Source organism: Homo sapiens, chromosome 22 (assembly GCF_000001405.40).
Source record: "Homo sapiens chromosome 22, GRCh38.p14 Primary Assembly".
Lineage (NCBI taxonomy): Eukaryota > Metazoa > Chordata > Mammalia > Primates > Hominidae > Homo > Homo sapiens.
The window spans coordinates 48,827,229-48,840,081 of record NC_000022.11 but is presented as its reverse complement, the minus strand read 5'-3'; the positions used below and the strand labels follow the sequence as shown (position 1 = coordinate 48,840,081).

General features: G+C 49.6%; 1 annotated feature.

Moving 5' to 3' along the window:
• Nucleotides 2,486-3,013: an enhancer, noted in NCBI's record as "H3K4me1 hESC enhancer chr22:49232881-49233408 (GRCh37/hg19 assembly coordinates)". NCBI's record gives its function as "activates a minimal SCP1, AML or CMV promoter by ChIP-STARR-seq in naive H9 embryonic stem cells {active_cell/tissue: H9 hESC(naive)}" and the evidence as "EXISTENCE:reporter gene assay evidence [ECO:0000049][PMID:30033119]".

Here is a 12,853-nt window from a genome sequence, read left to right as displayed (position 1 = left end):
GATGGCTGAGGCCCTGAGACCCTAAGACCCCAGCATCTGCACAGGGCAGTCATCGTGGGTTATCCCCAGGCACCTGGCCTCCACCATGTGAGGAGCAGGGAATTAGGGAAAAAAAACTAAAAGTCCAGGAATTTATGCAAAAGAAGTTGCATCGCCCAAGAGAGATAGCTTGGAAGGAAGTACTGCAATACCAGCAATGAATGACTAAAATCGCCCCCCGCTATGTGGAAGGTGGGAGCCCTCAGAGAGATTATGCTGGTGACAGAGAACAACGAAGCTCCCCCAGTGCCTAAGGCCACCCTTGACCTGTTCTTCACGTGTCCAGCCTACTCTCCCAGCTCTGCTCAGATCTTCCAGCACAAAGCCCTGGACAAGGTAGCTCCCATGTGCCCCCACGGAGTGGACAGCTGCCCCTCACAGCTCTGGCTCTGAGCACCCCCTTCAGAAATGGCAGGGCTGAGCTTAGTGGCTGAGCTTGGTGGCTGAGCTTGGTGGCCGAGGGCGGGGACTGGCAGGGGGAGAGATGGACAGACAGTGTTGAGTGGGACCTCACATCTTGGATGCGGACCAGTGCTATGGCCCAAGTCCTTGCAACCTGTCCGAGAAGAGAAGCCAGGGAGGTAGGCAGCCCCTTCCATCCATCCACTCATTCACTGAATGCACATGTGCCCAGCGCCTGCTCTGTGCCCTCCACAGTTAGGGTGAAGGGAGTACACGGTACAGGGAGCCAAGCCCTGCCCTCAGGGAGCTCATTCTCAGGGGCAGCTGGCAGCTGAGGCCAGCGGAGGGCCCGGGAGGGGCCAACACTGTGGGGAAGGGGCCTGGCAGGGACAAGCACAGGGCCTGCTTGCCACAGATGCTGCTGGGGGTCATGCAGGTGCGTGAGGGGAAGTACCAGGAGGAACACACCTCCACCAGAGCCTGACCATGGGGTAACTCCTTTGTTTCTCTCCTGTCTCCTCATCTCTAGTGTAAACCCAGCAAGACCTGCCTCTCAGGCTGCCCAGAGACCAGGAGTGCACCTGCTGTGCTAGGAGATGACACAAGGTGACTGTGAGGCTGCCACTCTCGTGGTGTTTGCTGTCTTAGGTGACGGAGGCTGCATATGCTCCACCCTGGGGACGCAGGAGCCTGCAAGAGCCCCGTGCCTGTGCTGCAGGCATCCTGGGACGGCGCTGCATCAGGGACGTTTTGCGCCTCCTTCCGGCCCCCTCTTTCCCTTTTCTCATTCCCACCTCCTTCTCCCAGCTCAGAGGTGTGTGAGTCTCAGCCACTCCCCAAAGCAAAACCCTCATAGTTAGCCAGGGACCCAGGCAGGGGTCTGGCAAGGCCCCCTCCCACCTCTCAGACTCTTCTGTCTCCAGAGGCAGAACGTGCACGTGGGCATCACATTGACTTTGGGGACTTGCCTTCACCCCAGGGCGCTCCAGTCTGGTGGATGCTGACTCTGACCACACCTGGGAACCAGTCTACACCTGGGTCTCAGCTCGTAGTGACAGTCCCTGCCAGCCCCGAGATTTCCAGGGGCAGCACCGCCCCTGAGGTACATGGACCCCACCGCCGTCCACACAGCGCACACCCACACGTGTATCCGAATCTGCGAGCAGCATATGTGCTGTGGGTACAGGTGCTGCAACCTTAGCTGACGGATTATGAAACTGAGCCTGCAGATCTGAGCCCGTTGTCCGAGATCCGTGCTCTCATTTCCTAATCCACTTCCAAAAGCCATTTTCCCATACTAAGGGCAAGACTTTCAGCCAGACACTAGGAGGATTTGAAGAGAAAGAAGCTACAGTCTTTGTCTTTTAAAGGAATCCAATCTTGAAGCCCGAATGAGGCATACGCAGAGGAACGCAGGCTACGAGACAAAATGCGATAATGCACAACCACCAGCTAGAAGACACAATGGAAGCCAAGGCCCCGTTTACGACAGCAACAAAAGAGATAAAATACCTATGAATAAATTTAACAAGAAATGGGCGAGACCTGTGTGAGGACAACTTCACAACATTCATGAAAAAAACAAAAATGGAAATTCACATGGTCAGGAAAAGTTAGTATGACAGTGATGTCTATTCTTCCAAGTTAATTTGCAAATTGAATGCAATCGCCATCAAAATACTAATGTGTTGCTTTCTCTGGGATTAGTCAAGGGATTTTAACTTCAAATGGAAAAATGATTCAAAAATAGGAGAAATGAGGGGAAGGAGGGAGTGGCTAGCTCTAGCAGATATTAGTAATCCATGACTAATCAGCTGTGATCCTGGAGTACAGTCATGGCAGACAGGACGGAGGCACAGGTAGGAAGTCCAGAAACAGCTGAGTCAGGTAAGTCCTTGCTGGGAGTGTGGCCAGGACGCGGTGGGACAGGATGGCCAAGAAAAGGCACAGCCCTGGGGACAGCCCCACCTCGTAGCCTGTGTGTGCGCACGTGTGTGCATGGGAGGACACGTGTGCATGTGTGTGAGGACACGTGGGAGTGTGCATGTGTGTGCATGAGGACGTGTGTGCATGTGTGTGGACACGTGTGTGCATGTGTGTGAGGACACATGTGAGTGTCTGAGGACACGTGTGTGCATGTGTCTGAGGACACTTCTGTATGTGTAGGCATGTATGTGAGGACACATGTGAGTAAGGACACGTGAGTGAGTGTGTGAGAGGACACGTGTGTGAATGTGTGAGGACACGTGTGTGTGCATGTGTGAGGACACGTGTGTACTTGTGTGAGGACACGTGTGTGCATGCATGTGCGTGTGTGTAAGGACGTGTGAGTGCATTTGTGAGAGGACACGTGTGTGCATGTGTGAGAGGACATGTGTGTGCGTGCAGGTGCGTGTAAGGACACATGTGAGTGTGTGTGTGAGAGGACACGTGTGTGCATGTGTGTGAGGACATATATGTACATGTGTGCTATGACGTGTGTGCATGTGGATGCGTGTGAGGACACTTGTGAGTGTGCATGTGTGTCCACATGTGTGGGGACATGTGCATGCCAGTGTGTGCCTGTGTGCACATGCATGTACATATGTGCACGCACACGTGTGTCCCAGGCTGCCCCAAGGCTCAGACAAGCTTCCCCCACAGGAGCTGCCATTTTCCTCCAGAAACAGGATTTCCTCCCAAAACCCCAGGAATTACCGACCCCCAACCCAGCAGGAGACTCCGACAAAACGGCGCCTTCCCCCGCCCTTCCCACCTGCCGCCCCAGACCTCAAAGCAGAGGCACCTCCCACCCCCACACTCTGCACTCCCGGCTGCAGTGGTCCTAGGGCGGCCCTGTGAGTTCAGTCATGGAGACCTGAAGAAGAAACGGGAGGTGACCTTAACATGGTCCCAGTGTCATCTTTTATGGCAGCCCCATCACCCCTCCTTTCACTCCAGCAATGAAGCTGGCAGGTGCCTGGGCATCTGGAACAGGGCTCTGAGTCATTCATTGAAAGAGCAATAGAGCAGATTGCTCGGGGGAGATTGCTCAGGGGTGCTTGGCACTGGTGTCATCACCCTGTGTTGATGGGGGACCCCAGGGCAGCACCCCACGATCTGGGACCAGGCTAGGGCTCTGGTTTGAGACTAGACAGGCAGGGGGAGCTGGGCCTCGATGACAAACGTGGAGAGCACGGCCACGGGTCTGGGTGAGTGCTCAGTGCCCGCAGGCAGGGTGGGTGTGCAGGCTTCTGCCCCAGTCACAGAGGGGAGCACATTACCTGCCCTGCAGCCTCTGCTCTCCCACCTGAGGTTTGGAGCCCACTCCCAGGAGCGCGCACCTGCGCGTGGCTCCACAGACCTGATGGCTGTGGCGACGACCGTGAATGCCACTGTGCACTCCAAGACAGAAAGCAGAATCAGGCGTCAGCTTCAGACCGTCACGGGCACCGAGAACGCGGCTGACGCTGGATGGGATCGGGCTTCATAAGCAGGGCCCCCCACTCTTGCCCCACAGGTCCCCCCACGCTGGCAGGCAGCAGCGGCTGCAGGGAGCGATCAGGACAACAGGCAGGCTGGAGGAGCCTGGAATCCCCGTTGGGATGCCTCGGCGTGGCACCTGCAGCCTGCTCCAACCTTGAGAACACGCTGTGCTGGGCAGAGGATGGGCTGGCAAGAGGCCGACTGTCTCCTAGGGGCTTTGACCAATGCAAGTAGGAGAACTAAGCCAGAGCCCGCCCAGCGAGTCCTGGAAGGAGCCGGATGGGTGGTGGTGCTGGCCTGGCCCTGACCTGGGGGCTGACCATGAGCAAGTCAATTAACAGTCAGGCAAACCTCCATCTAGTGGGCAGGGTCCCGCACAGCTCCCAGAGCTCACAGGGGCGACACCGGGGGTCTCACCATCCACGAGGAGACAGATTACAGGTGCTGCAGGCAAACCTAAAATAAATCATGTTAAAGTGCAGCGTTTAGCAGCTCTCGGCACATGACCTTGGCGTCTATCTCTGTTTCTGAAACATTTCCATCCAGCGCCAACACCCCATGCATAGGCAGCCGCCGATCTGTGCCTACCTGTGGATCGATCTGTTCTGGATCTTTCGTATGAATGGGGCAACACAGCTTGCTACCTTTGGTACTGGCCTCTTCCCCTCCGCACCGTGTCTTGAGGTTCAACCACATCACAGCTGGGTCAGGCTTCATTCCTCTTTGTGGCTGCATAATTCTCCACCACATGGCTCTCCTGCAAATGCACCATCTCTCTCCATTCTAATTTTTAATTTTTAATTTTTTCTTTCAGATGTAGTCTCGCTCTGTCGCCCAGGCTGGAGTGCAGTGGCGCGATCTTGGCTCACTGCAACATCCACCTCCCGGGTTCAAGCGATTGTCCTGCCTCGGCCTCCTGAGTAGCTGGGACTATAGGCACCCTCCACCATGCCTGGCTAATTTTTATATTTTTTTAGTAAAGACAGTGTTTCACCATGTTGACCAGGTTGGCCTTGAACTCCTGACCTCAGGTGATGCACCTGCCACGGCCTCCCAGAGTGCTGGGATTACAGGCATGAGCCACTGCACCTAGCCTCGCTCCCCATTCTAAATGTGACTTTTCTGTCACCATTACCACGTTGAAGAAATTATCCCTTTTTTTAATTGACAATCTTGTGTCCATTATTGCAGAAATGACCCTCAATGACTACAGTGGATTTATGTTATCGAGAGCCCCTTCATATATTTAAAGGATGGTCAAGTGTTTGAAATGTTGTTTGCTTGCAAGTTTTTACTATTTCAAATAAGGCAGAGATGGACATATTTATAGCTAATTCTTTGCATATATCTTTATATATTTTTTAGGACAAAATCCTAGAAATGAAATTTCTAGGTCACGTCACACCCATTTAAAGGCTTCTTATAGAGCTTGAGAAACTGCCCTCCTTAAAGGTAGAGGAAGCAGTTGATGCCTCCTCCGTGGAGCTGTGTGTGAGTTTCCTCTCCGGGCAGTGTTTACCGCTGTGCAGATATGGCCTTTGGGGAGGACGGACATAGCTTTGCAGATGTTCTGATATATTTGCCATGGAATCTAAATATACAGCCATCAATACCAGGTGTCATCTATGTTTTAAAGAACTGAGTAAGTTCCTGTTTTATGGTTGAAACTGAAACTAAAGCCCTTTTTATTACCTTACACTCATATTTCTATGCCAGTCCTCCACAAAATTGTACCCTAATAGATTTTATGTTTCAAAGTTGTTATTGATAGTCCTATTATAATCCCTATAACAATATTCAGAAATATACATATATGTCTATAAATTGATTTTGTTAATTTCCAGGTGCCATTGATCTTTAAATACTAAAACCAATTCTTCTAGTTTGGGTTATTATTACAATTATTATTAGCAACACTAGATTAAAATCACATGAATGTGTTGTACATGTTGACAAATAATTTGTAAACATAAGAAGTTATTTTTTAACTGCATCCTCTGATATGATGAATGGGGCTTCTCCTCACATTCAAGTCATTGCTAGAACGAGATGGCATTCAGCTTAAATGTTATTAATTTTAGTTTGTATTTTTTCATCTAAAAACCTGAGAAAATGTTCATATAAATGAGATGAGTGTGAAGGGAACTCCTAAATTAGATATACATCAGTTTGTTGAAATTGTAATGAGTTCTCTGCCAGGGAACACACTGTGTGTGCTGAGCACAGTGCCCCACCGATGTGCGATTCTTCAATGAGATGGTGACATTCCCTTGACAGATGGAGCCTGCACTCCCTGCCCTGGGATGGGATCCTGGCAGGGCTGTGGCCTCAGCAGAGGTGATGCTACGCGATTTCCAAGGCTAGGACACAAAAAGTGATACATACCACAGCGAGATTCCATCTCACATTCTTTTGAATGGCTCATATTTAAAAAAAGATAAACAGAAAGAAAAAGTATTACTGAGAATGTGGAGAAATTAAAAGTCTTGTGCATTGCTGGCGGGAGTGTGAAAGAGCACAGCTGTGTGGAAAACAGTATGGCACGTTCTTCAAAAAAATGAACATGCAATTACCCTATGATCTGGGGATCCCAGTTTTGTGTATATCCTGCAAAGGATTAAATGCAGGGTCTTGAAGAGACACTTACACACCATGTTCAGAGCACATTATTCACAATGACTAAAACACAGAAACCACCCAACTGTCCCTGGGCAGATGAATGGATAAGCAAAATATGGTCTGTATATAGGACGGAATATCATTCAGTCTTCAAGAGGAAGGAAATTCTGGCACATGCTGAACACGGATGAACACAGATGTTATGCTAAACACAGATGAACACAGATGTTATGCTAAAGAACGTAAGCCGGGCACAGAAGGACAAATACTGCATGACTCCACTTACATGAGGTCTGTGGAGTAGTCAAATTCATAGAAACAGTAAGTGGAATGGTGAATGGCGGGTGTTAGAGGCTGGGGGTCGGGGGTTTCATGGGAACAGAGTTTCTCTCTGGAAAGCTGAAGCATTCCTTATGATTCATTGCACAACAGTGTGAATATACCAAACACTACCAAACTAGACACTTTTACATAATGGCTGACATGGTAAATCTTAGGCTATGTGTATTTTACTGCAATTGAATTTACAAAATTTTCAGTAAAATTGAGAAAGCAAAAACAAAAAAACCCACACAAAGTAACTGCGATGTATGTGTTTGTAGGGGTCATTTGTTTTTGAGGCACTTGTTACTAGAATCCAGTGACTTCACTGTGCAGAAGCCCAGGTCACAGAGAAAGCCACAGGGAGGGGTGTGGCTGACAGCCCCAGTGACCAACATCCATCATCAGATGTGTGATGAGGAAGCCTCCAAGGTGACATCAGCCCCATCCCCATCTGAGTCACAGCCTGTGTAACAACCGCACAGCTGAGCCCTGTCACCTACGGGAAATCACAAAATGACTGTGGGTGTCTGAAACCACCAAGTGCTCAGGTGTTTTGTCACATGACAGTCCATGGCCAGATCATACCAAAAAACACATTAGGGATCAATAATCATGATTTTATTTATTATCGAATCATTATTATATCCTTCTAGATGACTATGATTTAAAAATTAAAATTGATTTATGATTAAATTACTAAATATAAATTGTTGCTAATGTGATTTCAGATTTTAATAGTTTTTGTGACACTGAGTTTTGTTGAATGGAAACTCACCTGAATTTGCAAAAGTAGTTGTTATCCAGTCCTTGGCGATTATCTTTCTTCCTGCAAATCAACACTATTTTGCATTTTTTTGTTTGTTTATTTGAAGATCACTGTTTCTGACAGAGGTCAAAAAACTTCAGCCCATGGGCCAAATCCGATTTGCAGTGTGGTTGTTTTTTTTGTTGTTGTTTTTGTTTTTTAAGATGGAGCATTGCTCCATCACCCAGGCTGGAATACAGTGGTGCGATCTCAGCTCACTGCAACCTCCGCCTCCTGGGTTCAAGTTATTCTCCTGTCTCAGCCTCCCAAGTAGCTGGGACTCCCAAGTAGCTGCCATCATGCCCAGCTAATTTTAGTATTTTTCGTAGACAATAGAGAAAGGGTTTCAACATGTTGGCCAGGCTGATCTCGAACTCCTGACCTCAAGTGATCCACCTGCCTCAGCCTCCCAAAGTGCTGGGATTACAGGCATGAGCCACTGCGCCCAGGCTACAGCATTATTTTTTATGGTCTCTGGGCAAAAAATGAATTTTACATCTCTGTTGTTCAGCTTTTTCATTTTTAAAAGGGTGTATCAATAACAACAAGTCATTGGTGACAAAGACTGTATGTGGCCTGCAAAGCCTAAAGGTGTTTACTCCGTTTTTTATAGAAAAAGTTTGTTAATCTCTGCTTCAGAAAATCATTTACCAGAAATTTTAATAATAAATGTGCTGCTTTTGACTGAAAATATTTGTATTCTTCCTTATATTTTGATTACTAGCTATAAAATCATGAGGTGACCAATTTCTTTCTTCAGTCCTTCGGAGCTGTGGTTCTGTTGTCTATTCTTCTGCTAAGGATTCTGTAATCAAAATACTTGGCCTTCCTTTGCAGGCAATATGTCTTTTTTCTCTGGCTACTTTTAAAGTTCTTTTGTTTGACTTTGGTGTCCTTCAGATTGGTTTTCTATTATGTATCTCAGTATGGAGCTCTTATACCCTGGTACTTATAACACTTTCTGAATATGAGGATTTGTGTCTTTCACCAATTTTAGAACATTTCTAGCACTTATCTCATGGCCATTGCCTGTGCCCAATCTTCTCCCATCTCTTGTTCTGAAACTACAATTGAACTGTGGTGCACTGTTGGATTTGTTCTTCATGTTTTCTCCTGCTTCTACCAGGAAATTTACTCTGCTCTAGCTTCCATTTTTGACAATTCTCTTTCTTTAGAAATAAATAGGGCCAGGTAAGGTGGCTTGAACTTGTAATCCCAGCACTTTGGGAGGCTGAAGCAGGAGGATCACTTGAGCCCAGGAGCTTGAGACAAGCCTGGACAACATAGCAAGACACCCTCTCTACAAAAAACACAAAAAGTTAGACAGGTGTAGTGGTGTGCACCTGTAGTGTCAGCTAACTGGGAAGCTGAGGTGGGAGGATTGTTTGAGCCCAAAAGGCGGAGGCTGCAGTGAGTCAAGATTGGGCCAATACACTCCAGCCTAGGTGACACTGAGATTCTGTTCCAAAAAGAAAAAAAAAATGTATGATTATTTTTCCACTTCTTAAGATTTCATGTCTTTATTTTTCAGACATTCTTGTGGGATTTTAAAAAAATTTTTTATTGATATGTGGTTATGTTTCCATATCCTCTTTTATTTTACTAAATATTGAAAACATTTTATATTCAGCCTTTCACACTTCATGTGTTCAGCGTCTTGGTGGTCAGCTTCTGCTGTCTGTTCTTCCTCCTGGTGCTCAGGATGGCATGTGTCCTTGTGAGTTTTGTGATTTGAGATTGTGAGCTCATGTTCAGCGGGGATTGGGCTGTGAGAATCCACCGGCCCTGGGATGAGGCTCTGTCCTGCTGGGGGCTCTTGTCTTTGTTTCTGTGGGGTGGCCCAGAGCCTTAAGAATCTGAAGCACTTTAACCTAATTCCTTGTCATTTTGGTTTCACAAAATCTGCAAGTAGTGTGCATTTAAAGCTCAGAAGATGATGGTACGTGCCTGTGGCCATCATTTCCCTCTGCCCTTGGGTGATGTTTTTCCCTTTGAGTCTCTCACTCATGCAATGCCCCTTTGAGGGGCACCTGGAGGTGTCCTGGGAGAGACAGATCTCGGCTCCATGCAGCTTAAGGCAGAGGTGGGTGCCGAGTTTGTCTTCTCCTCCATTGGGATGGCCCCCGGTAGGTGGCTTAACTTGACCGCCTTGCTCAGCCCAAGGTGTTGTCTGACCCTGTACTGCCCTCGGGCCTCCCTTCCCAGGACCTCAGCCCTCATCCCATCAGCCCATCACCCATCTTGGCTTCTTTCCTGTTCCCTCTGGACTTGCCTGCTGACTTCAGAGTTGGGAACAGGCCCCCGGGCAAGCGGAGGTGACAGCTCCATCTGTCCCTTGAAGCCTCTTCTGGCCCTTGCACTGGCTTTGGCCATGGCCTCGACACTCAGACACTCCCAGGGGTGGGGGCCCCCTGACAACACACCTTATTTATTTATGCAGGAGTCTGTATAAAGGGACACCTACCCCAACCATGCCACACACTAACCCCCTACCCCACCATGCCACACACTAACCCCCTACCTCAACCATGCCACACAATAACCCCCTACCCCACCATGCCATGCACTAACCCCCTACCCCAACCATGCCACACACTAACCCCCTACCCCACCATGCCATGCACTAACCCTTTCCTCCTGTTTCCTTGAAGTATTTGAAAACCAGGCCCCTTGGTGACTGAGACTGGCAGGCAGCTCTCAAGCCATCCCAGCTCCCATGGAAGCCCCAGAACTTCTGCTTCCAGGTTCCTCTTCATTTGGTTCTTGGGGATTTCTTTTACTTCACTTGGAGGTAAGCTGTGCATTTTACAAAATATTTAATGTCTTCATCTTTTCTAAGTGTTTTTGATGGATAGTATATCTAATTCCATTGCCATGAATGGAAGCTTCCCATGATCCCTTCGAGCCCACGGCTGGCCACGCTTCCTCCCAGCAGAGGTTCCATTACCAGGATAGTCCCTGGAGAGGAGGGTGTGGACGGGGGAGTGAATCACCCACATGGAGTTCTATCATCTGAAGGAGACACAGCTGCTGAGCACCTACTGGATGCCATAATGACAACAAAGAACTGAGAAGCCAAGAGTGTGAATAAACAAAGCATGTTCTGTGTTCAACGGCAGTGAGTCCTTCCATAATGCCTATCATTGCTTCCCAGTTCAAACATTCATCCCATGGTCTTCAACTGCTTGTTTCTGGGTCTGTCTACTGTATGAGACACTGGAATTCACATCCCCAGTGTGTGAGACTGTATTTTATTCATGTCTGTATTTTTAGCACCCAACTCAGTACCCTCCATAAAGCCAGGGTTTCATAATTTGATGAATGAGTCACTGAGTTTGGCAAGTCCAGTGGTGACTTTTAAAGCAAGGATGTCTTGGGACTGAGTGACCTTCATCCCTGACATCCCAACTCTGACCTCCCTCATGCCTCCAGCGTGGGGTCCTGATACAGTGTGGCATGAGGCCCCATCACTCCACATGGGCACCATCACAGACACCACAAGAGCCCAGAGTGGGCCCCATCCCCACAGCTGCCTCCCCACCCGGGGCCTGGGGCTGGGCCACTCTTCAGTTCCACCAGGTAACCTGGTGCTTTCACGCACCCCCACAGAGTCCAGCTGAAGACAAGCAGGTTGCATTTCAGAAGTATGGCGCATTGCTCTGAGGGGCCTGGGGCCTGGGGATGAGGTGAGTATATAAGGAAACCTGTCTGGGGCCTGGTATGGATCCCCGAGGCCTGGCTGGGCCATGGGCACCCTGACCCTTCCAGAATGCATGCTCGGAGCCGCAATCACCCACAGAGGAGGGCATTAGGTTTCCAGGTGGGTTCCAGTGGGGACCACTTCCCTCCAGGGCCTTTCATTTGAGATGATGACATCATCCTCTGGCAATGCCCCCTGACCTCAGGATTCTGTCCTCAACTCCCAAAGCTCTCATTCCTTACCCTGTGTGCCCAATGGGGTGCCAGGCACCTTATCCAGGCCACCTATGTCCTGGGGATCCTCACTTCATGGAGGCTGGGATGCAACGGGGCTTGGACTCCAGCCAACAGCTCACCTCATACCCTTCTATGAGGTGCCCCCCTTGGCTGAACTCAGCTGGTGAGACCCGTTCCCTCTTGGAGCCGAGTCCCCAGTGCTCTCCCCAGGGCAGAGACCCCAACCCCAGGGGTGTCTGAGTGTCAGGGCCAGGCCACAGCCAGTGCAGGGGCAGGGAGAGGCTGCAAAGGACAGAAGGAGCCGCCACCCCGCCTGCCAGGGACCTCCTCCCAACTCCGATGTCTGCTGGCGAGTCCAGAGGGAAGAGGAAAGCAGCCAAGACCGGCGGTGACAGGCCGTGACGGGTGGTGGGCTGATGGGACGAGGGCTGAGGTCCCCAGAAGGGAGGCCTGAGGTCAGTGCAGGGTCAGACAACCCCTCGGGCTGAGCAAGGCCGCACAGGTTAAGCCACCTCCCACGGGCGGGGGCTTTTGACGGAGCAGAGAGCAGGTGAAGGAGAAGGCAAACCCCACACCCGCCTCCACCTGAAGCTGCATGGTGCCAAGATCTGGCTCTCCCAGGACACCTCCAGGAAAAACAAAGACAGCTATTAAGGAAAACAAATCTACCCTTCTAATTCCTTCGTGTTCTTAGAGGCACTCAGAGGGCAGTTTTTCACTCCGCAGTAAATAATTCACTCAGACTCCGAAAAACAACAGTCAATGTTCTTCCAACCACCAAAAAAGAACGAGTGAAATCACCGCGGCGAAGGCAAGCGGGCCAGAGACCCTTTGTTCCTTCTCAGGATCCCCTGCCTCCACCGTCTCCATAAACACTGCCAGTTTCCATGGCCTGCAGGCTCGCAGGGGCAGCCATTCAGAAGAAGAAATTTCTGAGGTCATCAAGGGGTTAATAAACCTGCCTGCACAAACCTTTCCCCAGCGACCCCATCCCCATCCCTTTGTTTAACTTCAAGACCCAATTCTAGGGAATATGATTGTTTATCCATTAATCACTGGGAGTTTGGGCTCAGAGCCAGCCTGGTTCTCGCTGGGTAGAAACCGCAGGTGCAGGCGGAGAAGCCGGAAACCCAGGGATTGCAAGGGCGGTCAGCTTTAAAATAATCATGAATTACGCCGTGATTCACTAACAGACTCCTAAGCACATAGAATTTTGAGTTCAAGGGGTCTTGGTGGTCCTAGAGCTGGGCTTCCTTTTTTTTT